Source organism: Homo sapiens, chromosome 12, assembly GCF_000001405.40.
Source record: "Homo sapiens chromosome 12, GRCh38.p14 Primary Assembly".
Classification (NCBI taxonomy): Eukaryota; Metazoa; Chordata; class Mammalia; order Primates; family Hominidae; genus Homo; species Homo sapiens.
This window is the reverse complement of record NC_000012.12, coordinates 115,487,537-115,512,664: the sequence shown is the minus strand read 5'-3', so window position 1 is coordinate 115,512,664 and position 25,128 is coordinate 115,487,537. Positions and strand designations below refer to the sequence as shown.

Sequence of the window (25,128 nt, the reverse complement as noted above, 5' to 3'; positions counted from 1 at the left end):
CTCTGTAGGCAAATCACCCTTCTCTCTAACTGTTTAGAGAGGTTTGTTATGTTTTCCCATTAAAGATCACCATTGCAAGCCTTGCAGGATAAATGAAGCAAAAATCTATGCAAGGCTTCAATCTGGCTTTCACTCCCTTACAGCCCAACCCTGGCCCCCAAAGAAAGGTGTTATGTAAATAAAAAATACTGTGATTACAATGTGCTGGACAAGTGTTTGATAAGGATCAGAGGAAGGCTGGGGCCCCTAATGACCACTAGTGGTGAGGGAGGTATGATTCCATCCTTGTGTTTCAAGAAAAGTTTGTAAAGGAAGCCATGTGGCAGAGACTCACTGGGATGGTTTAAAAAATGAAGGAAATTCCCCATTTCCTGGTTGTAAGAAAATATGGGTGGAACAAGTCTTAAATGAGCTGATCATGGCTCTGACTTTGATGTTGGATGAATGACAATGATCTCCAAGGCAGGAACACAATGTAATGAACTTGCCTGGCTTTTCCATGAAAAACAAAATCACTGAAGGGGTCTTGTGTTGGAAGACAAAGGCACTCTGACTGCAGGGGGGGGAAGAGGAAAGCTTGGAGGGTGTTCTTAACCTGTAGCTAATGGGAATGAAGGCATGAGGGCTGCTAGCTTAAAGTGGTGGGGCCATGCTGGATTTTGTAGGGGCATCTGCAGTGCTACTTTTTAAATTTAGCAAATGTTTATGAAAGACCTACTGTGTGTCTTGACTTGTACCTGGGTCTGTTAAGATAGAGATCAATATGCAAATCCACAGTCTAATAGAATAGTTAGAACACTTGATTCTTTTCTCCCTTCCTCTCTCTCTTCTTTCTTCCTTTTTTTTCCCAACCATATTTATTGAGCACTACTGTGTGCTAGGCACTGTGCTGGCAATGGGGATATGATAATGGACACAGTAGATATGGTTCTGTCTTCAAGGAGGCCAAGGTCTAGCTGGGAAGACAAAGCAGTAAACAAGCCACATGAGAAAGTGTGTGTTAAGGGCTATGAAGTACAGAGAACCCTGGGTGCTCACATTGGAAGCATGAGAGTGGGGAATTGGGCAATAATAAAGTAGGCAGGAGAAGTTGGGATTAATTCCATAAGGGAGGCCAGGCTTCAGAGGCAGAGGAAATGACGTTGCTTAAGCTGGGTTTTGAAGGATGAAGAGGAGCTCTCAGGAAGACAGGATAGGGGAAGGACTTTCCACACACAGGGAACAGCAAAGCAAAGGCATGGAGGCTTCAAAGAGTAAACCGAGTTTGTGGCAACTACAAATAATACAGGATTATTGGAGCAGAAAGTTCAAGAAACAATAAGACAGGAGCCCTGAACAATAAACAGGAGTCAGATCATGGAGGGCCTTTTAGACCAAACTGTGAAGTTTATTCTAAAGGTAATAGGGAGCCATAGAAAGACTGTGAGCAGGAAAGTGACGTGATCAGGTTTGTGTTTTGTCAAAAGCCCTCTGGCCACTGAGTAGATGACAACCTGGAAAGGTGAGACTACAGAGGTGAGTCTGGAAACCGCAAACCAGATGGCATGTGAGGTCAACCTTGGCTTCAGGACAACCTTGGTTCTGCAGTCAGAAATGTGGAGCGAGGGTCTCAGCCCTTTCTGTAAACTGTTGACTTCTTGCCTTGCTACTGGCTGGTGGCAGAGACTTGGGATAATTGTGTTTCAATTATTACCATTGCACATTAAAATATGCAACCATGAGTCAGGTGGTTAAAGCCATTGCTGGGTGGTTGACTAGAGGGTTAGGATTAGATTGGGGTTAAGAATTAGATCCATTACTCAATGTCTCCAATGCGCGATATGGCTTTGGGTGCACATGTGGGTGTGAGGCTACATATTTCTCCCTAGAGGTACGCCAAGAAGACACTGATCTCAAAGGTGAAAGCTAGCCTTCAGGGGTTTCCCAAACTGCCCCTTCAAAAGGAGATGGAAGCAGAGCTTATTGGTTAGGAGCATCCATTTGATGTTAAATAGATCCAACCTTTATCTTTTAGTAGTTGTGCAAATTACAGGACCCGTATCCTCTTTCTGAGCCTCAGTTTTCTTCATCCGTAAAATAAGCACAAATGTGGTGTGCAGTAAGTGCTCATTCAGTGTCTCCTGACATTTTTAGGTATTTGCAGGCTTAAAAATCAAGATGTCATTTTGGCCTTTCTTTGAATTTGTTTTTACTACAGTGTTTTCTTATGTCACCTCCACTTTTTTTCTTATCAAGCCTCATTCTCAAGCAAGTTATCAATGATGCCTAGGTATATTCCTGTTAACAGAGTAAAGTTTGAGGTGGGTTGGAGCCTTTTCTCCAAAGAAACAAAACCAATAGTGTGTGTGTGTGTGTGTGTGTGTGTGTACATTTATCTTAAGATTTTAACAAGGAACTGGCTCACATAATCATGGGGGCTGGCAAGTCCATAATCTGGAGGGCAGGCTGGAAGGTTAGAAACTCGAGTAGAAGTTAAGCTTGTAGAAGAATTTGGTAGAAAGGAATTTGGAATTTTAAAAAGGAACTAGGAGCCTTGAACCAGCACCATAACCCCATCAAACAGAAACATGTCCTTATGTGCACTAAGAGTTGTACTCAGAATGTTCTCAGCAGCAAACAACTTGAAACAGTTTAAATACCCACACAGCATAATGGATACATGAATTACTATGTATTTTCACAGTAGAATACTGTCTGGTGGTGAAATATGAAATGCTGCTACATGCAAACACATGGATAAATCCCACAGACACAGTATGGAGAAAAAAACGCAGACACAGAGGAGTACAGCTCTATGATTCTGTATATTTAAAGTTATAATGGTAAAAACTAGATTATAGGGAAGTAGTCAGTATATTCACCTCTCTTGGTAATTGCACCCTGATTTTCCCTCAGGATACCATTCATTCCCTCACTTCTAGTCTTTGACTTCCAAAGGGAAGGGACCTACTTCTTGTCCCAGTTTGGTCAATCAGCAAATTTCATCTCCTGGACCTCAGGAATAGATGCAGGGTCATGAGACTCAAGGCAGTCCAATGGCAACCAACAATGCTAGAATTCTGGCTGGAAATAATAGGAAAGAAGAACTCTTTTTTTTTTTTTCCCACTGGGATTGCAGAGCTGGTAGAATATCTGTTGGGAACTGCTGGTGGACATCTTGCCACCATGAGATGCACCTACTTAAGAATTAAGCCAATACAAGCAGGCCTGAGAGATGGCTTCAGCTAGTCTGAGTTGATTTCCCTACTCAGGGACAAGGACATGTCTGTCTGTTCTAAACCACATCAACACCTGGGTGTGTGACAGCAAAGGAGTGAGGATGCTGGGATCAAGGAGTGATGAGGATTCACTCTACATTTCCTGCCATTGCCATTTTTCCTGGCTGGTAAGGACTCCAGTAAAAAAGACCTGAACTCACCAGGTGCCACAGGACATTAGGAAGTGCATCTCCTTCTCCTACCCACTTTGTCTCCCAGATCTCAGTTTTTCCTTCCATAAAATGGGTATGCTTGGGCAGTGCAGCCATTCTGGTTGGGCAGCATGTTAATTTCTGTTCGTTACTTCCCTATGTCTGCTCCTGGCCTTACTGAAAACTTCAATGTCTTAATAGTAAAATAATCGGTAACGTGTTGGGCACTCGATATGCACAAAGCACATGCTAAGTGCTTTATCAGGGTTGTTACCCCCTTGAACCCTCAGGGCACTCACCCCGCAAGGAAGACGCTGTCCCTATCTCCCCTTTGCATATGGGGGCAGTAGCCAGGGAAGAAGGACACGTGGGCCAAGTTTCGTGGACTGCCACACACAGGTGAGCCAGGACTAGATTTTTCATGAGATCTTGCTTCCAATTCGGTATAGCCTTCCAGTTTCCAAGCGGCTTTTATCTCCTCATTAATTCTCACCTGATTTCTGGAACTGATTTCTTATTCCCATTTGCTAGATATAAATATGAAGTTTCAGCAAGGGGCAGGGAACTTGCCCAAAGCCACACAGAGCTGCTGCTGCTGCTATTTATGATAATAATGATTGACATCCTATAAGAAGCCCTCAGTTAGGTCCCAGTTACATGCAGCTTAGGAGAGGGAGGTATGATTATTATCTCCACTTTACAGCTGAAGGTACTGAAGTTTAGAGAATGACGTCACTAAACCCAAGTTACTTGGCTGATTTTGATGGAGTTAGAATTGGAACCCAGGCAGCTGGGTGTCCCAGCCCACTCTCTTAAACACGGTCATATGTTCTCTTTCCAGAAACAGATCTGAAGCCAATCCCTGAGCCTCCTGGGCCATACACTGTCCCACTATTTCAAAAGAAACTCAGTGACGAGAGGGCAGAGGGAGAATATGTCCAGCATCTCAGCCTCATTGTTTTCCACTTGGCAGCCCCCTCCAGTTCAGGTAAATAGAAGAGATTCCGTCATTGTTTGTCCCTGGTCCTAATGACTTTCGTCTTTGTGTCTTCGGAGCCAGACCTCACCCCTGGGAAGCTGGCCTGGGGCCTGAGAGGCACCAGCCGCCTCTGTGAACAATGGTCTTTGTTCTTCACACTTTCCCTATCAAAGCCTCACAGCAGGGATGGCCTTCAGAGGCGATGGGCGATGTGATAATTCCTGTGCCAGGGCTGAGGAGGGGGGCAGGAAAGGAGGGGTCAGGTCCAACTTTGACCCAGTTAGTTACTCTGGGGTCTGCGGTCCTGCCCTGGTAAGAATAAACTCTTAGCAGAGGCTATGAATAGCTTGGGCTTATTAACTCATCTTGTCTTCTGTGAATTGTTCTCCTGTTATCTTCTGGGAGTAGCAAGTCTGGAAATGATGTTGGTGGACAGGGAATATTAATAACAATAATAATAATTGATGATGATGATGACGATGATGATGCCTGGCTATATTTATTGTGCTCTTACCATGTTCTGGGCATTCTGCTAAGAATGATATATACATTTACATTTACATTTACAATGCATTACGTTTACATTACATTTACATTTAAACCTAACTGCAACCTTGGAAGGCGAAAACTGTTACGTCAGTTACTTTGCATTCTCATTGTAATTCTCCATATTTTTCAGATGAAGAAAATAAGGCTCAGCCGGGAGCAGATAAGGTGCCCCAGGTCACAGAACTGGGCCTTGAACCCAGGTCTGTATGGCTTCAAAAGCCAGTCCTCTTAACCACTGGGTTCAGATGGCTCTTTGTAACAATGAGCAGCATGAGAAATGGACAGAGGAGGTGAACTGGGGGCAGGCACACTAGAGTGCTCCCAGTAAGTTGAGTCATGTGACCTTGGGCTGGTGCCTGTAATCGCTAAGCCTCTTTGTCCTCATCTGTAAAATAGGATAGGTCATCTTAATGCTTGCAATCTCATCCATCTGCCTGCAGGAGATAGAATCTGCCCTAGATGGTTCAAACTATGAGAGTTTAATTAAGGGACTACTTACAGCGGGGTGGACAGGGTTAATCACATGAACATGAGGTGCTGAGGCATCAGGAGTCTAGCAACAGTGGAGAGCTGTTCACATCCATAAGCTGAAGTAGGAAGAAAAGAAGAAGGGTTTCAGGAGCCCAGGCAGGGCCGGGGTCATGGTGGATGAGTCACCTGGCACAGGTCAGGGACGGACACACCCCTCCAGAAATGTGGTTCTGAATTAGGGAGGAAACAAGGAAGAAACACCTGGCTTTTCTCCTTCTTCCCTTTGATCTCCTGCCAGTGCTTCCTATTAGATGACCCCAGCTAGAAGCAGATCACAGAGGTGCTAGGAGGTGTCATCCACAGGGGTCAGCTTCAGGGGCACGGGACAGAGAAGGGTAGAGAATAGGGGGAGCTGGCAAATGGAGACTAACTGCAGGCCCATCTTCTAGGGGTCCTTGTGCAAAGGGAATAGGGCTTTTTTATGGAAAGCATCTGGTCTGCAAGAGGCACACAATAAATGAGTTCTGTGACTGGAAAGGGGTCCTGATCCAGACCCCAAGAGAGGGTTCTTGGATCTCGTGCAACAAAGAATTTGAGGCAAGTCCATAGAGTAAAGAAAGTGAAAGCAAGTGTATTGAGAAAGTAAAGGAATAAAAGAATGGCTACTCCATAGACAGAGCAGCCCCAAGGGCTGCTGGCTATCCATTTTTATGGTTATTTCTTGATGATATGCTAAACAAGGAGTGGATTATTCATGCATCCCCTTTTTAGGCCATACAGGGTAACTTCCTGATGTTGCCATGGCATTCGTAAACTGTCATGGCGCTGATGGGAGTGTAGCGGTGGGGACGACCAGAGGTCACTCTCGTCACCATCTTGGTTTTGATGGGTTTTGGCCAGCTCCTTTAATGCAACCTGTTTTATCAGCAAGGTCTTTATGACCTGTATCTTGTGCTGACCTCTCATCTCATTCTGTGACTTAGAATGTCTAACCTTCTGGGAATGCAGCATAGTAAGGTCTTAGCCTTATTTTACCCAGCCCCTATTGAAGATGGAGTTGCTGTTGTTTAAACGCCTCTGGCAGCTCTATTTTGCAAAGTGTGTACTCAGTGCCAGACACAGGGCGAAGCCCTGGAAATCCTTGTTGGTATACAGTGGTGTCATCTTTTCACAAGAGGCAAAACGGCATCCCCACAGAGGTGGCAGATGCTGGAGCCAGAGAGCCTGAATCCAGGCCCTGCTCTTCTGCTGCCCAGTTTTATGACCCCAGGAAATTCATTTATTCTTGTGCCTCAGTTTCTTCATCTGCAACAACAGTACTACCTACACTTCACAGGGATTGGGAGAGGATCGAATGAGTTAAAACATGTGATGCTCTTACCCAGTGCCTGGCCCCTTGTCAGTCCTCAGTAAATGCTGGCTATGATATTTCAAGATGCTTACATTCAAGAAGGGCTGTCAGACAAATCAACTAAGTGCAAAGTCTGATGTGTTTTCGCAGCGTAAGGAGTAGGTATTGATTGGGGAGCACAGACAGGAAGCCTGTTTCGATCAAGTAAGACCTCTCTGAGGAGGTGATGTTTAAGCTGAGACCTGCTGGATGAGTGAGAAGCTTCCAGGCCCAGAGAAGAGTGGTCTGGGCAGCAGAAAGAGCAGGTGCAAAGGCCCCGAGGCAGAAACAATTTGGGATGTTCAAGGAATAGCAAGAATGCCATCAAGGGGAGGAGAAGAGTATTTGGGGTTAGAGAAGTGTCATGGGCCTTGTAGGCCAGTGCAAGGAATTTAGATTTTCTTCTGGCAAAAAAAGAAACTCCTGGAAGGGTGTTACAGTGAGAAGCGACACCACCCAATGTGCTCATCTGGGTCCTCCAAGATGCAGGTGCCAAGACGAGATTAAATGTGGAAAGCTTTTTTTAGGAGAAGTGCCTGTTGGAGAGAAAATGGAGAGAGAGCTGGGAAAGGCAGGAGAGCTAGCTGGAGGACTGGTATACAGGTCTGATTCCTAGTGAAGGAGATACAGAGAAGCTTGGGTGGAAGCATCCCAAGCTGCCAAGCTGTCCAAGAAAGATTCATCAAAGCCATGGGGAGCCCTTGAACTATGAAAGGAATTCTGCGTCTCCCAGGAACGGGCCTGCCTTAGTATGCTGCCGTTTTCAGACATTGGCTGGGGATGGCCCACAGAACACACGGCCTCCTGTTCATGCAGGGAGCTCCAGAGCGCAGCAGCTGGGCCCTTGGGCCATTGGGCTCCCTGTTCGTGTTGTTCCACGAGGTGCATTTTGCCCATTTGACTAGCATTTTCAGAGGTGCACTTGGGCCATTCTAAGAAGACAGGCTGAGAGGGTGGACAAGAAGTACGCTGATGACTGTTAAAAGCTCTAGTGCCAAAGGCCTATGCAGGGGGCTGTATGGGCAACCCCAGATGGGGCTCAGTGTGGAGGCCAGACAGAGGTGTGTGCCTCCCAGTGAGCTGGGCCCTGCCTGGCTCCATCCCTGCCTGTCCAGCCTGCGGACACCCCCACAAATCCCCTGTCTCCCCAGAGGAAGTCAGGCCTGTAGCCTGGCTTCCTGCTATTATGCCGTTTTTACAGCCTGGACTTGATTTAGGTGTTACGCTCTTGCTAAGAATATGCGCTGACACTTGAAAGGAACTTTATTATTGTCCTAATTTGTGAAGAATTAGTCGTTGCTTTTTTTTTTTTTTTTCCCTGCTCCCCTTTCTTCTCTGCAGGGTCAGGCTGGAGCCGAGTTATTGTTGTTAAATTTAGATCTGAAACTATATTGGGCCTGGGCTGGTGTCTCTATGCTTTCACTTCTTAAAACAGGAAGGAAGGCCCCAGCTAGGGGGTTTCATAGAGCCGAGAAGCTGCTCTGAAGGCCTTGGGAAATGTGTTTTGGTGGAAACCACTAGATATGCTTAGAAAGGACCAGATTCAGAGAGCGTCTTGGTGTGGTTAAATTGAAAGATTTTTCCCTGGCCTTCTGATATGCCTGTGAGCCAGGTCTGCAACTATGGTAGGTTACAGCATGGGCAGTGAAAGCCACCTGACTTTGGACGGGGAACTCCTGCTCAGCTGCCCCATTGCCTCAGTTTCCCCATCTGTAAAATGAAGATCATGATATTACCAGAGGCTGGTGGTGGATTAACTGAGGTAGCATTAGTAAAGTGTGTAGCGGAGTGCCTGAAGCATGCGTAGGTAACGTGTGAGCTCTGGGTTTCCTGGCTGGTGGAGCTCAAACTTAGAACAAATCAAGGAAGGTCTCAGAGATAAAAAGAATTCTATGGTAAAGCATTAATTGATCAACGGAATGAACTTACTAGTTACTTGAGAATTAATACCAGCAAGAGTTATTAAGAAATAGCAAAAATCATTTTGTGATACTAGCTAATGTTGACTGAGTGATTTCTACATGTCTGGAACCAGCTAAGTCCTTGATACATGAGACAGCGCAGAGCATAGTGACGAGTGGGGCTCTCAGATTACTCGGTTCACAATCCCAGCTCTGCCACTTAGCAGCTGTATGGTCTTAGGTAAGTTACTTTACCTCTCTGAGCCTCCGTTTATTTTATTTATTTTATATTTTGAGATGAGATCTCACTCCGCTACCCAGGCTGGAGGGCAATGGCACAAACATAGCTCACTGTGGCCTGGGCAACAGAGCAAAATCCCATCTCAAAATAAAATCCAATATCTTGACTGGAACCTTCTGAGAAACCCTCAGCCAGAGCCACCCAGTTAAGCCACTCCAGAATTCTTGATTCACAGAAATGATAAGATTTTTTTTCTTTTTTAAGCAGCTAACTTTTGGACTAACTTGTTACACGACCATAGCTAACTATATGACCTTATGTAATTTGCTTGACCTCTCTAAGCTTCAGTATGATCATTTGTAAGATGGGAATAATAGTCTTTCTCTTAGGGGATTGTGGTGTTTAAATAAAATAATTTTGTAAATAATAGCAAATGTATAAGCAGTTTTTTCTAAATACCAGACACTTTACATAAATTAATTCCTTAAAGCATTGACAAATTACCAGAACTTTAAAGTGTTGGTAAATGGTTGGCCCACATCTGAAGTCTGGACTAGGGTGAAGGATCTGCCTTGGCTGTTTGGTAAGAGGCCTCAGTTTGTTGCCATGTGAGGTTCTCCTCAGAGCTGCCTGACATCCTCACAATATGGCAGCTGGCTTCCTCCAGAGCAAGTGATTCAAGAGAGAAGGAAGAAGCCATACTCTCTTTTATGACCTAACCTCAGAGGTGACATACTATCACTTCTGCCATATTCTGTGGGTCACACTGCCCAATCCTGATACAACAAGGGAGGGACTTGAACAAAGTTGGGAATGCCAAGGGGTGGGAAATATTGAAGGCCATCTTGGAGGCTGCCACCCTAGTCACCCTGTGGGTAAATGATGGAGATAGGAATTGAGTTTAGATTCTGCATTCTGCCTTGATTGATGTGTCCTGCATCTACCACACACCAGGGACCCAGAGCCTTTAAGGTGCTCCCAGGCCAGGAGAAAACTGATGAACAATGGAGCAATTGCCTCAGGGGCAATTGAGTTTAGAATGTGGACTGTGAGAGCTCAGCAGAGGGGGTCCTTGTGCAGACTGGGGGATGAGGAGAGTTATGCTGGCTGAGAGGCTCGAGAAGAGCAGTTGGGGAACAGGAAACAGCGTATGCAAAGGCCCAGGGGTGAGATAATGGGGTTTACTGCAACTGAAGCATGGAGTTCCTCTTGGGGAACTGTGAGAGATGAGGATTGAGAGACATCCCAAGGGTCACTTTCCATAAGGACATTGTAGGCTATATTACAGAGACTGGGCTTCATCCTCAGGGTAGTGATAGCCATTGAAGGTGTTTGATAAAAAAAGAAAAATATTCAAGTTTATATCAGCCACAGGAGCACAGGACCTGAGATTAGAAATAAGACATCAAGTCTCCATTGGCCTTTGGTTAGACCATCTTCGCTAAATCCCTGCCCCACTCCTAGCTCCAAGGTACTCAGATCTGTAAAAGGGGGACAATCATTATACCGACCTCATGGGCTTGTGGGGCCATGGAAGTGAGAGGCATGAGGATGAATAGGAAAATGTAAAGGGCTCGACAGATGGGAGTTCTCCTCTGAAATCATTGTAGAGGTGTTGGTGAGGCAAAGGATAGGCCAAGAGACTGAGAGATCAAGAGTGGGAAAATGGGAGACACATTGGCTTTGTCTCCAAGGCCCCCTCTGCAGCCAGACTTTTCTCAAGATACCATTCCTACTTGCCCATCAGTGGGGTACGGGCAGGAGAGGAAGAGCCAGGACAGGTCTGAGAGCAAGTCCCTGACCCTTGAGCTACATATACTTGAAGAAAAGACCTCATAGAAGTGGAAAACCCGGCACTGCCAGAATCCTGGCTTCTCTCTTTGCAAGCTACATGATCTGGAGCCACCAATTAAACCCACTGACCTGGGGCCACCAGTTAAACTCACTAAGCATCCATTGGATCATCTGTAAAATGGGGATGCCCATGTCAGCACCATACGGACAGGAATCTTTTCTGCCTTGTTCAGCATTACATTCCTAGTACTACAGCAAATATTGGCACACAGTAGTTGCTCATTAAATGTATGTTAAATGAGGAAAGGAATTTTCACTGCATGATTATCTAGAAATCTAGCTTCTATGGCTATGGCTCTATGGTGAGATCTAGCATGTCTATCCCTCCTTATCATTGTTTATGCTGTTCTCTTGTCCTAGAATACTCTTCCCCGTTTCTCCATTCATGCAAGTAAGCCAAGCCTTCAACCCGACTATGTTGAAATGGCCTCTGCTTCTGAGTTCCCTATGAATATGTAAGGAAAAACCCCTGGACCCACCACCTACTAGATCTGTGACCTCAGGCAGGATCTATGACTTCTTTGTGACTCAATTTCCTTATCTGCTAAAATGGGGATAATGTTTCTACTTATAACCCATAAGGTTGTTTGAAGGTTAAAAAAGATAGTGCCCAGCACATAGTAAGTACTCAAATGTAGTAGCTCCAAGTTTTATTAATTTCCCCCTCCAGGAGAATCCAGAATCCTTGGTGCTTCTGTAACTCACCCTGCTTCCCACCATCCTTACTATCATTTCTGCAGGGCTTCGTTTTCTGTCATTTCTCCAACAAACCAAACACACTCCTGCCCACGCAATTCCCTTTGCCAGAAACACTGTTCCGTCAGATATCCACATGACTGACTTTCTCACTTCCTTTAAGTCTCTACTCAAATGAACACTACGGTGATAACAGGCCTTCTGGACTGTCCACTTAAAATTGCATTGCTCTCCCTATTAAAATAGATTCCATTCTCCAGTCTTAGTTTTCTGTGTGGCATTCATTTCCACTTGAACACATCTCATCTACCATATTCATTTATTCACCGTATTTCTTTTGTTTTCCACCATTCGAATGTGAGCTTCTGAGGGCACAGATTTTGACTTTTATATACATGCTGTATCCCCAGTGGTTGTTGAATGAATTAATAAAAGAGTGAAGGATTGAATAATCTATATAAGAAAGGGGAGGTTTGGGAAGGAGGGCATTAGGACAAATACGTAATGTATGCAGGGCTTAAAACCTAGATGACAGGTTGATAGCTGCAGGAAACCACCGTGACACCTGTATACCTATGTAACAAACCTGCACGTTCAGTACATGTATCCCAGAACTTAAAATTTAAAAAAATTAAGGAAAGAAAAGAGATGTTTGTTTCTTCCACTGTCTTTGCCATATATAGGTCCTTGAAAGTTAGAGCTACTGGTCTTCCTTCAGATGAGAGGAAGATAAAGCGCTCAGAGAGGTAGAAGACTCCTCCAGAGACCACAAAGCCAGTAACAGCAAATACTTAAATATCATTCACTACATACTGAGGACTGTTCTAGACTACTTATTTTGTAAGAGATGTGTATTATTTACCCAGGGATGCTATAAAAGAATGCTAGAAACTAGTTGGCTTAAGCAACAGAAGTGTATTGTCTCATACTTTTGGAGGCTTGAAGTCCAAGTTCAAGATGTTGGCAAGGCCATGCTCCCTCTGAACACAGCAGGAATAATTTGCTCCAGGCCTCTCTTCTAGCTTCTGGTAGTCCTTTGACTTGTGTCAGCGTAACTTCAGTCTTCACATGGTGTTCTTCCAATTTGCAGGCCTATGTCCAAATTTCCCCTGTTAATATTGAATTAGGGGCCCATTTTACTCCAACAGGACCTCGTTTTAACTAATTAAATCTCAATGATCCGATTTCCAAATAAAGTCACATTCTGAAGTACTAGGAGTTAAAACTTCCACATATAAAATTTGGGAGGACACAATTCAATCCAATAACAAGAAGGAAACTGAGGACCATTATAATCGTTTGCCCAAAGTGAACCCAGCTAGTAGGTGGTGGAGTCACTGTTTGAAGCCTGGACACTCTGACCTGGAACCATGACGCTGAATGCAACCGTGAACTTGAGCACCCAGAACCAGGTCTGAGTGCTGTGTTTTTGCATTGAGTTGGCCTAGAGGGAAGAATGGTCACGGAGGTTAAAAGAGGAGATGATTATCCAGGCAGGTGGTTAATACCCAGAAGCTGGGCTATCTGTCAACATACAAATGAGGAAAGCACTTCCCAGTGGAGGCAGCAGCAAGAGGGTGCAGAGGTGATGGAGATTGGCAGGTGGCACTTCCTCTCCCCCCAACTCCATTACCTTCCCCCCTTCCCTGCCCCCACCCTCCAGCCTGCCACCTGGATAGACAGCAGGAGACAGCTGTCTGATGAGGGAGAATGGAGCTGAAAGAGGCTGCTGAGAAGGGCAGAACATGGTTCTTTTGAGGACTTTATAGATTTTCCTGCACAGAAAGACCTTCCCACTCCTTTGAAGGATGGCGGTGAGGCTCAAGCAGAGATAGCAATATCTCTCATTCATTTTTCATAATTCAGAAGCCTGTCAATCACTGGAGGGGACCAAGGTGGGAAGGGCTGGTGAGGGCTGGGGGCGATGCAGATGGGATTATGGAAGCAGAGAGGAAAGGCCCTCTGCTGTACTGACTCCTTGGCCACCCAGCTGAAGTGACAAGACACTTGGAGCATGTGCCACTGCCACCATCCCAAACCATCCTGGCTAAGGGCAGCATGAAGGCAGGCTACGTGTCTAATATATACTTTTTTAGATGTGGTTGGTGTAGCATAACCATCTAGAGGTTAGTGGGATTTACTTTAGTCAAGACACTGCCCCCAGATTATCACATTTAATCCTCACAAACCCCAAAAGATAGATATTTTATTTCCTTTTTACAGATGAGAAACTGAGGCCTAGAGAGATGAAGCAGAGCCAGGATTTAAACTCAGGTGGGCGGGCCTCAAAGTTCATGCGATTCACCACTGTAGACATCCACTTTCTGAAGGCTGAAAACTTCCAGCTTGCTCCAGCAATCTCCTTGCCATTATCTAAACAGTTTTTCATTAATTAGGAGCTTGAAGTTATCTAATGGAAAAGAGTTATCTAATGGGAAATTTCATTTGTGCTTCTGATATGCCCATTTTCTCCATCTGCAGCCATCATCTTACACAAAGTCTCCATCTCTTTTGGTCTTGATGGACAACCTTAGTGGCCTTAATGAGCCTCTCAGCTCTTGCCTCCTGTTAGTCCATTCTGCGTGGAGCAACCCGAGTGATCTTTGAACAATCACAGATCTAGGCAGTTTCTCAATAACTTAAAAGTGGAATTACCACATGGTGCAATAATCCCACCTACATATATGCCCCAAAGAATTGAAAGCAGGGATTTAAAGAGATATTTGCACACCCATGTTCATAGAAGCATTAGTTGCAGTCTCCAAAAGGTGCAATCGGCCAGGCGTGGTGGCTCACGGCTGTAATCCCAGCACTGTGGGAGGCCGAGGTGGGTGGATCATGAGGTGAGGAGATCAAGAGCCAACGTGGCGAAACCCATGTAGTATTTTGTACTAAAATACAAAAAAAAAAAAAATTAGCCGGGAGTGGTGGCACACGCCTGTAGTCCCAGCTACTCGGGAGGCTGAGGCAGGGGAATCACTTGAACCCGGGAGGCGGAGGTTGCAGTGAGCCGAGATTGTGCCACTGCATTCCAGCCTGGCGACAGAGTGAGACTGTCTAAAAAAAAAAAAGGTGCAATCGACCCAAGTATCCATCTATGGATGAACAAAATGTGGTCTATACACACCGTGGAATATTATTCAGTCTTAAAAGGAAGGAAATTCTGACACATGCTACAACATGGTGAGACTTGAGAACATTATGCTAAGTGAAATAAGCCAGTCACCAAAAGGCAAATACTGTATGATTCCATTTATCTGACGTACTTGGAGTAAATTCACAGACACAGAAAGCAGAATGGTGGTTGCCAAAGGCTGGCAAATGGGGGCAAGGGGAATTCTCATTTAATGAGTATAGAGTTTTAGTTTCTGCAAGACGAAGAGTGCTAGAGATGGATGGTGGTGATGGTTGCACAACAATGCAAGAGGTCATGAGGAACAAGGAGGCCTTGGAAGGAAGGAACAGGTTTTGGGTCATTGCAGGAGGTGGCTCTTCTGCACAACTCTAGAAGAGAACTTTATGTCAATGGAACAGGCATTGTTTTTAATCATTTAGAAATGTTTTTATGAGAAGGGGTCTATAGGTGTCACCAGGCCCCCAAAGGAGTCCCTGGTCCTTCTCTTTCTCTTTCTCTCTCTCCTTACCTCCCTCCTTTTCTCTCATTCCTCTTCTCTCCTCCTTCCCTTTCATCTCTCTCTTGCTCTCTCTGAATTATTGTGTTATTCTTGTGCAGCTGACATTGCTTTCTTTACCTGTGAGAGCATACCTGGACAGTTGTGGGTTCCCTCTGTGTGTGTATATGTGCTTGGATGGCTCTGTATATATCTCCATGCATATGTAGTATCACATATATTTGTAAACCTGGTAGCTGGCATGTTCTTTTTGGGGCCCTGGGAGTTTGTGTCTATGTGCATGAAGGGTTTCCTCTATGTATGTGTGTGTTTCCCCTATGTATGTGTGTGTGTGTTTACTTAGATGCTTGTGTGTCTACTACACCTGGGTGGCTCCAAGCTTTTGAGTGTGTACACTAGGATATTTATCCATATCTGTGTGTCTCTGCATGTCCTCTTGATGTTTGCTTTTCTCTGTGGGTTTATGCCTAGATATCTGTGTGCTCCTGACTGCCTCTAAGGGTGTGACCCCTTGTGCGATACTCCTGGAGGTCTGTGTATTTCTCTATCTCTTCCTTTCCCAAGAAGCCAGGATTTTTCTGCCATTGCACATCCTTGAACTTGCCAAGATGATGCCAATAGGTTGAACTTTCATGATCTGCACCACAGGTTGGCAAACTTTTCCTTAAAAGGTAAGACAGTAAATATTTCAAGCTTTGTGCACCACATGGTCTTTGTGACAATTACTTTCATCTCTGCCTTTGTAAAGTCTAAGCAGTCTTAGATAATATGTAAATGAATGAGTGTAATTGTGCTCCACTAAGACTTAATCTGTGGACACTAAAATTTGAATTTCATATCACCTTTATGTGCCATAAAATAGTCCTTATTTTTATTTTTGAGATGGAGTCTTGCTCTGTCACCCAGGCTGAAGTGCAGTGGCACAATCTCGGCTCATTGCAACCTCTGCCTCCCAGGTTCAAGTGATTCTCCTGCCTCAGCCTCCTGAGTATCTGGGATTACAGGCACATGCCACCATGACTGGCTAACTTTTGTATTTTTAGTAGAGACAGGGTTTGCCATGTTGGCCAGCCTGGTCTCAAACTCCTGACCTCAGGTGATCTGCCCACCTTGGCCTCCCGAAGTGCTAGGATTACAGGTGTGAGCCACTGTGCCCAGCCAAAATATTATTCTTATTATTATTGTTATCAACTCTCTAGAAAGGTGGAAACTATTCTTAGCTCACGGGACATACAAAAACAGGCAGTAAGTGGATTTGGCCCTCAGGCCTTAGTTTGCGGATTCTAGGTCTATACACATGGAATGGGCATCCCTCCTTTATCCTCTTCCTGCCTAGTGAGAGTTGAGCGTCAAGGGCAACCGCTTAACCCTTTGTGGGCTTAGCAAACAGACCTGCAGCCTGCCCAGGAGACCTGGAGACCTGAATCTCTGCTTTGCAGTTGACTGGCTGGGGGATGAGGGCCGCTGACCTCCTGTCTCTGAGTTTCAGCTTTCTCCTCTATAATATGAGCTGGCAATGCTTACCTTGGCATAAAGTCTTTGACACTGTGCCTAGCACATTGTTAGTGCTCAGCAAATAGTGTCTACCTATCTGTGTATATTTCTCTACTCTCCTGTCTCTCCAGCTTTAAGCCCAGTCTGCAATGAATGAGCCAAGGTTGTAAGCAACATGGGTAGTTCCAAGGGTGAAGATGTGAGTTCTTTCCAGTGGATCAGGGAAGGCTACTTGAAGAGGGAGGATCCTGGCTGGGTGAAATGTGACTGTCAATGCAGAGAGCTACAAAATGAAGGTTGGCAAAACACAAGGTCTGTTACCCTTTTCCACATCCATATCAGTTTGGCTGTTCTTTGTTGTCATGTTCCTTGGTAATTTCAGCCCTGGATGACAGAAAGCTATGATCACCTATCCCCCAGAATTTATTGAAGATCCCCTTGACTGGGCTTTGAAGCTAAGATCTGTTGAGAACAGAATGGACAAACCATCTACTTTTGAGTCCCAGTTCTGCTACCTACTAGCCTAGTTACTTTTGGCAAGTGATGACATCACCTTTTCAAGTCTCAGTTTCCTCACCTGTAAAATGGTCTACTAAATGCACCTTCTGTGTAGGGCTGTTGCGAAGCCTCAAGACATGATGGGCACACATTTAGTACAATTCCTGTTGAATATGAAATGCTCGATAACTTTGGCTACATTTATGGTCATTCCCAAGTACAGTGAACCCCTCAAGAGGGGAAAAAGTCGTCAGCCAAAGTGACCTGGATTTTTGTGATTCAGCTTTTGCTGTACTTTTCAGATTCTTCGGTTACCTGGAAATATGACTCTGGCATTTCTATGAGATTCCCCAGATAAAAATCTGGGCAATAATCGTCTTTGCCCCTTTAATGAGCTATTAAGTGGCTTTGCTTAAATAATAGAGCAATTATTTTTTAGAATGCTGGCCTCTGGGGCCCTCCCCGGTCTTGGAGCTTTCACATCCCTACTTGCTTTACCAGGGTGACAAATGGAGACATCTTTCTGCTTCTTCCTCCTCCCCAGGGATGAGAGGCAGGTAAGACCATAGGTCACTGAGGGATCAGTCTTGGCAAAGATGCATGCAGGTAGCCCTCAGAAAGTTGCCCTCAGAATTTAACCTACACGTGTGCCCCACATGTAGGCCCCTGGAAAAAGGCCTGCTCCTGCAACCACTACTAAAACCCTGGCTTCTTCTTGATCGTCCTTCGCCTGACATCATGGTAACCTGGATGATGTGCTATGCCAAGGGTTTAATGACATTTTGACTTAATGTGTGTGACTTTTTAAATCTTGGAAATACCATTGCCTACCATGCGGTGGGATAAACAAAAAACCGAGGTTCAAATCTGCTCTTGCCACTTCCTAGCTCTATGACCTGAGAAAGCTCATGAAATTCTTGTAACCTCAGTTTCCTCATCTGCTCAATGGGGCCAATAATAACTTGGAGAATCCATTTTAAACAGCCTGCTCAGGAAAAATGTCCCCAAGTCTTCCTTTATTGTGTCACAATCCTGCTCAATAACCTCCCATGGCTTCTTGCTACCTTTGGAGTAAAGTCTAAGGATCTTACCCCAGAATTCAATGCTTTCCATTATGTGGTTTGGACTTACTTTTTCCTATCCCATCCCCTTCCATGAACCACCTGATCTATTTGAATTGGTTTCTTCATGGCTTCACTATACCATGCACTTTCAGCCTCTTGGTTTTCGCTCATAGATCCCTGTTACACGAAATGCGTTTTCTGTTCCTGCTTATCTATCATAACTTGTCCTATCTGTACCACTTACTAGCTGCATGACCTTGGGCAAGCCACTTTGCCACCTACATGAAACTTTTCATCTGTAAATGGGGGAACATAAAATGACATCCTCAAGGTGCTCTATCCAGGATTCAGCACAATATTACATGTTAAGAGCAAAGCAGGGTGCCTCATGCACAGTAAGCTCACAGTTAGCAGTTAGTGGTTTTGCTATAGCTAAAATCCTTCTCCCTCTCTAAGCACCTTTCCTAACAACTCAGGTTCCTTTTGATTCTTCTCTTCATACAGCTCTAAGAGAAATTGCCTCCCTGAAACTCCGTCCAGCAGCCAGGCACCATGGATATTTTCCTGGCCTTCCAAGCACACCAGACCCCCTCTTGGCCCCGGGGGGTTTCCTTCTGAGTGTGATGTGGGGTATTGATTATGGCCTCTGATGTCCTCACAAGTATGCCTTATCTCTTGTTCTTGTAGGATGTCTCTTACCTGACCCCTATGCCAGTATCATGATTCAAAGCCTCAGTCGAAAGTTCCTGAATTCTATCTCCAAGAACAGCCTTTAAGCAGAAAGGTCATTGTCAGGATCTTTAGAAGAGAAAGCTTGGAACAGTAACCCCCGGGAAATATTCTAGTTTTGCCAGATACTGGAGAATCAAATGAGTAAGGGAAAATATTCTGTGCAGTAAAATGGTTCTTCCGACACACACTTGGCTTTAGACTTTGCAAAGCTCTTACACTCAAATTACATTTCTCAGTTAAGACTCCAGCACCACTGTGAAGTGAATACTGTTGATCCCATTCCACAGGTGGGCAAACTGGTTTGGAGAGGTTAAGGGAATTGCCTAAGTTCACACAGAAGGTAAGTAACATAGAAGGGGCTTGAACTGAAGTTTTCTTTCCCCAAATTCCAAGCACTGTCAAATACTCTGAACTTTCTGTGTCAGAAATCCCCCTTTTTAGCTGAGCACAGGGTCACCAGGCATAAACAACTACATTGTCCAACTTTACTTGTGCTGCGGCCATGCAATTAAGCTCTGGTCGATGAAATAAAAGAAGAGCTGGTATATGGAACTCCTGGGAAGACAGGTTTTTGTTTTTTTGTTTTGTTTTGTTTTGTTTTAGATGGAGTCTTGTTCTGTCGTCCAGGCTGGAGCGCAGTGGTGCAATCTCAGCTCACTGCAGCCTTTGCCTCCCAGGTTCAAGTGATTCTCCTGCGTCAGCCTCGTGAGTAGCTGGGATTACAGGTGCCCACCACCATGTCTGGCTAACTTTTGTATTTTTAGTAGAGATGAGGTTTCACTATGTTGGCCAGGCTGGTCTCAAACTCCTGACCTCAGGTGATCTGCCTGCCTCAGCCTCCTAAAGTGCTGGGATTACAGGCGTGAGCTACCACACCCAGCCCTGGGAAGACAGTTTATGGGGTGTTGATCTGGCTGGGAGAAGCCTATTTTGCCCCTCTGCCTTTCCTTCTGCTTTAAGCTGCAAGTTGAATGTGATGGCCGGCACTCTAGCAGCCATTTTGAACCAGGAGGCAGCCATGAGACTAGATTATGTGCCAGAAAGTAGGGCAAAAATTGAGTCTTGGGTCCCTCATGTCCCCACTCACCTGCCATGTCAGCCTTGATCTGCCATCTCTCAACTTCTGTTAAATGCTGAAGAGATAAGCTTCTACCTTTTTTTGTTTTGTTTTATTTTTTTGAGACAGAGTTTCACTCTTGTTGCCCAGGCTGGAGTGTAATGGTGCTCACTGCAACCTCTGCCTCCTGGGTTCAAGCGATTCTCCTGCCTCAGCCTCCCAAATAGCTGGGATTATAGGCACCTGCCACCATGCCCAGCTAATTTTTGTATTTTTAGTAGAGACGGGGTTTTACTATGTTGGCCAGGCTGGTCTCAAACTCATAACCTCAGATGATGTGCTCACCTCGGCCTCCCAAAATGCTGTGATTACAGGATTGAGCCACTGTGCCCAGCCTAAACTACCTTGTTTAAGCCACTGTCATGTTGGAGTTTTCTGTCACTTGCAGCCTTCTTCCTCCTATACTTGCTCTGATTCTGGCTCTTTTTAAATGTTCTTATGGCATCTTGTATGTTTTCTTCATAACACTCATCACAGCCAGAATTTACAATTGTTATTTAATCTACATTTCCAATAGTGTGCAGTCCACTGAAGGTAGGGACTGTGTCTTTTCTTATTTGTTGTTACACCTTGGCACATGGCAGAGGGCCAGGCCAGAGGAGGCACGGATGAATATTTATAGAATGAACAAATATTCCTTGCTCCCAACCTCTCCAATAGGTCCCGGGCAGTTAACCCAGGGAAGAGGAAGCCTGCCTCTTTCTCTCAGCCTTACATGCTCACTTCTTCTCTCCAGTGGATTCCCTTTGCCTGCAAATGCCAGGACTTTCGGGATGAACTAGTGCTACTGGGAAGAACCAAGTTCAATACACTGAAAACGTATATTTTCCTTTGTCTCCAAGTCTCTATCATGTGTCTTCTAAGTCACCTTTATGCTTAGCTATGAGAATAAGTCTAAGAAAGACGGAAAAGACAAAAGACCCCAAGGGAGCAATTCCCTTTTCTGACGCACTTTCGGTTCACCACTAAAAACAAAGTGAATTTCAGGCTGAGAGAGTGTAGGCAGAAGTGTAGAACTTACTGAGCTTGTACCATTAGCATCGCAACTGAGCTGCAGGACCTGGCATTGATGCAATCTATGTTCATTTCCTAGACCTGCCACTTTCTACCTGTGTGACCACAGACCCTTCCTTTGACCTCTCAGAGCCTTGGTTTTCTCATCTGCAAAATGGAAACAGTTAAATTTCCTACATCATAGGTTTGTTGTGAGGATTAAATGAGGAAATTTGAGTGTAGGGTGTAGCAGAGTAATTTCCTCTAAACTGGGAACTATTTTTATATTTTTATTCACTGTAATCCATTTAGAAGGCTAGCTGCTGTGACTGTTTTGTAGCACTGATCCCATTCTGGGCTTCTTGAAACCTTCCAGATGAGCTGAAAATTGACTGTGATGGATGATGGCGCCGAATTGGAAAGAAATAATTCATTCTCTATCAGCCGTGCAGATGATATACAATGCAAAGTGCTCGTGTCTAGCCTCACTCCCCTCCCCCCCAGTAAACCTCTCTTATTCTCTTAGCAGTTGTTTGTTATTCCCTTGCCAAACATCCATATAAGCAGATCTGGTTTTATCAAAGGGCAGAGAGTATAGGGTCCTTGGACCAGGGTGTGCATACAGGTGTCTTTTAACAGACAGAGTAGCTTTCGTGTGGCCTTGCGGATGACAAACAGCTAATCCTTTTTACCAGGTTCTAAGTTGAAAGGACTCTGGTGTGGGTTTGGTGTGGAACCTAAAAATGTATCATCTACTTTACTGATCTTACTGTTTCCAAGCAGTGCCTGCTTGCATTCTGCTTGGAATCAAATCCAAAGGTTTCACTAAAACACTGCAAGAAAGAAGACATCCTCTAAAAGGGTGCCGAATAAAGGGAGCATAAAACTTTGGTCTTCGGGATTCCAGATTTTTAGCTGTGCAGGTTATCCAACAAAAAATGATGGGACCCCATGGATGCCGGCAAAATAAAGTTGCATCTAATACACATGTTGGATGCTTGCACCCAGTCAACCATCAGTACCCAGTGGTTCTCTGAAAGTGGTTAATGGAAGACTAAAGTACCCCGTGAGAAAGTGTGGGCTAGTTATAGCAGCCAAATAAGCTGACTTTTAAAAAATGGAGGTGAAACTCACATACCATAAATTAAACCATCTTAAAGCGAATAATTTAGTGGCACTTGGTATATTTACACCGTTGTGCAATTGTCATCTCTATCTTGTTCCAAAACGCTTTCATCACCCCAAAGGAAAATCCTGCACCCATGAAGCAGCCACTCCCATTCCCTCCTGCTCCCTGCCCTTGGCAACCACCAGTCTATTTTATATCCTTATGGATTGGTCCATTCTGGAAATTTCATAAAAATGGGATCATACAATATGTGACTTTTTTGTAACTGGCTTCTTTCGCTTAGCGTAAAGTTTCCGGATTCATCCACCTTGTAGCATTATCAGTACTTCCCTCCTTTTTATGAATGAATAATATGTCATTGTATTTATAGACCATATTTTATCTTTTCTTCCAGTGATGGGCATGTGAGTTGTTGTCACCTATCTGCTATTATGAATAATGTTGTTATGAACATTTATGTACAAGCATTTGTTTGAGTATCTGTTTTCACTCTTTTGGGGATACACATCAGGGTTGCAGGGTCATATGGTAATTCTACATTTAACTTTTTGAGGAACTAGCTAATCTGTTTATACACACATGTGGTACACTGCTGGTGGACTCTCAGAAAAACCTGGGGTGGAGAGAGCTCAGTCAACTAAGCTCTTGCTTGAGCAAGGAGGAAGAGTAACCAAAGAAAGTTGAGGTTATTATTGTTATTGCAAACTTCCCTAATGCTGTAAGTACTAGGGAAAGGTTTACACTGGAAATACAGAATTTTCCATTTTGTACAAAGTGCTTCCCTTACCTCATTCTCTATTGATTTTCCTAGTAGTCGTTTGTGAACAGAGAATTGGGAAGGATGTGCAAATTTTCTTGGGAATTTACAGATTGAGGGGAATGTCCTAAACATGACCCTGCCTGTTGCTACATGAAGCAGGTGTTTAGGCAAATCTTTGGTGCAAATAGTTGATGTGGAGTCTGGCACTTTCTGGACCTACACTGGCTGGAAAAGCTATCAAGTGCATGCAAGAGCTGCCCCACACCTGACCTCTGTTTGTGCACAACTGTGGCTCCATACAGGGCGGGGAAGCCACCCGCTGTGGAACATCAGCGTCGCCACCTCTAATTGTTGGGCCCAGAGCGAACTTCCTGACCTGGGAGGGTGTTCTCAACCAGGAATCAGCACCCTGTCATGCTAACTGAGGTTCCACGAAGAACCCATCAAGTTCTTCATGGGTGGGAATCCTAGGAAGGGGCGAGCTGAACACGGAAAATGCTCAGGGCTTTTTCTACCTTCCTCAATTTCTTCCTCTCGATTCCCTCAACAGATGATAAGCTCCTTAAAGGTATGGACCTTATTTTCACTGTTATTTTTATCTCCACTGGTAAGCAAACAGTAAGTGTTTAACAAATGATAATGAATAAATGAATGTATGCATTAATGACTTTTATCTCTTTCGAAGTCCCTGGACAGGAGGAGAATGATATAAAATATGAATAACAGCCTTAGCCATCAAAAAGAGGTTCTAGGTAGCTCTGTGCTTCCAAGGTTTTCTCCTATGATTGATCCTGCAAACACTCCAGGAATTTAGGACCTTCCCAGCTGCTGTTCCTGCTACCTGGATGCTGTTCCCACAGCTAGAGTTCACTCTCTCATTTCTTTCACATCTCTGCTAGATACCAGCTCCTTACAGATGTTTTCCCAGACCGCCACAATAAAAAAAAATAGCAGCCCCTAGCCCTCTAAATTGTTTAAGCCAGTTAATATTTGACACATCCAAAAGAATACATGTAGCATCTCGTTAAGTTAGAAAGACCCAATAATAAAATCACACCTTTGAGTCTATCACTCAACTGAAGAGCTGAAACACATCATAGCTGTTAGAGCTGTTTCTGCTCTCTGCTCTAATCCCATCTGCTTTCCTGACCCCAACTCTACCCAAGCATCACTGCCATTGTGGATTTTTGTCCTTTTCCGTTCTGGGCTTTGTATATTATGTAGCATTTATCAACACCTGATGTATCATATCATTATTTATTTGTGAACTTACGGTCTTTCTTTCCTCAAATCTAGTCTCCATAAAGGCAAAAGGTGTTGTCTGCTCCTTGTTGTGTTCACAGTGCCTGGTACACAGTAAGTCCTGAATAAATATTTACTGAATAAATAAATGAATGAATCAATGAATGAATTAATGTTGGTTGTGGAAATCTTTTCTTATCCATGATTGCTGCTTCAACGGGGGAGGGCAAAGACGGGCATCTTTGAGGCTGGTCTGCATAACTCATGACTGGTGCTGGGCTTCCCCTGGCTCCCAGATATCTGTATTTATTTCACATTATTTTTTTTCCACCGTGACTTTAACTGTCTCCCATACAACCTCCACACACATATTCATCCCTTCTCTGCTTGGTTACTCCTCTCCAGCCTTCAAGACTCAACCTGCGCAGCACTTGGGAATGATTTTCTCTCTGTGCCTAGGCTGGGTTTGATGCTTCTTCTGGACCAATAATAACGTAGAGAATTTATTTTACAACACTTGCCCAAAGAGTCCCCCAAATCTTCCTCCATCATGTCACTATCCTGCTCAATAACCTTCCATGGCTCCTTGTTAACTTTGGAGTAAAGTCTATGTGTCTTATCCTGGGATTCAAGGCTTTCCATTATGTGGTTTGGATCTATTTTTTCCTGTCCAATGTCCATCTGTGAACCACCTGCTCTATCCAAGTTGGTTCTCACTGCCCCATCTAAACTTCTTCTGGGCTTCCTCCTTCCTCTCCAAGTTTATCACCCTCATGTTACAGCACTGTACTTATTATTTTGCTTTTCCCTGAATACCACAATAACTTTATTCCTGCAACTGCCCTTCATCTCTGTGTCTCAGCACCTAGACCATAGAGCTCTTCTAAGAAATGGTGTGAAGGAAATGAATGATCAGGTGACTTCTGTTTCATCTCATCACACACAAGGAGAACATTGAGGAGAACCCCAAGAAATGA

The 25,128-nt window shown here is 44.5% G+C and overlaps 1 long non-coding RNA gene across 2 annotated transcripts in view, besides 5 other annotated features; it reads left to right on the top strand.

The window, feature by feature from the left end:
- Positions 1-25,128, top strand: part of LOC105370003 (uncharacterized) — a 389,555-nt gene that overhangs the window by 250,401 nt on the left and 114,026 nt on the right. For both annotated transcript variants that reach the window (XR_945389.3, XR_945388.3), the window contains exon 2: positions 4,251-4,397. This is a non-coding gene — a long non-coding RNA (uncharacterized LOC105370003). The remainder of the gene's footprint in view (positions 1-4,250; positions 4,398-25,128) is intronic.
- Positions 42-749: an enhancer, noted in NCBI's record as "OCT4-NANOG-H3K4me1 hESC enhancer chr12:115949721-115950428 (GRCh37/hg19 assembly coordinates)". NCBI's record gives its function as "activates a minimal SCP1, AML or CMV promoter by ChIP-STARR-seq in naive H9 embryonic stem cells {active_cell/tissue: H9 hESC(naive)}" and the evidence as "EXISTENCE:reporter gene assay evidence [ECO:0000049][PMID:30033119]".
- Positions 4,149-4,749: an enhancer, noted in NCBI's record as "OCT4-NANOG-H3K27ac hESC enhancer chr12:115945721-115946321 (GRCh37/hg19 assembly coordinates)". NCBI's record gives its function as "activates a minimal SCP1, AML or CMV promoter by ChIP-STARR-seq in naive and primed H9 embryonic stem cells {active_cell/tissue: H9 hESC(naive and primed)}" and the evidence as "EXISTENCE:reporter gene assay evidence [ECO:0000049][PMID:30033119]".
- Positions 4,750-5,349: an enhancer, noted in NCBI's record as "OCT4-NANOG-H3K27ac hESC enhancer chr12:115945121-115945720 (GRCh37/hg19 assembly coordinates)". NCBI's record gives its function as "activates a minimal SCP1, AML or CMV promoter by ChIP-STARR-seq in primed H9 embryonic stem cells {active_cell/tissue: H9 hESC(primed)}" and the evidence as "EXISTENCE:reporter gene assay evidence [ECO:0000049][PMID:30033119]".
- Positions 4,750-5,521: a biological region, named in NCBI's record as "Sharpr-MPRA regulatory region 2221".
- Positions 5,227-5,521: a silencer, noted in NCBI's record as "tiled region #2221; HepG2 Repressive DNase matched - State 5:Enh". NCBI's record gives its function as "represses a minimal TATA promoter and a strong SV40 promoter by Sharpr-MPRA in HepG2 cells {active_cell/tissue: HepG2}" and the evidence as "EXISTENCE:reporter gene assay evidence [ECO:0000049][PMID:27701403]".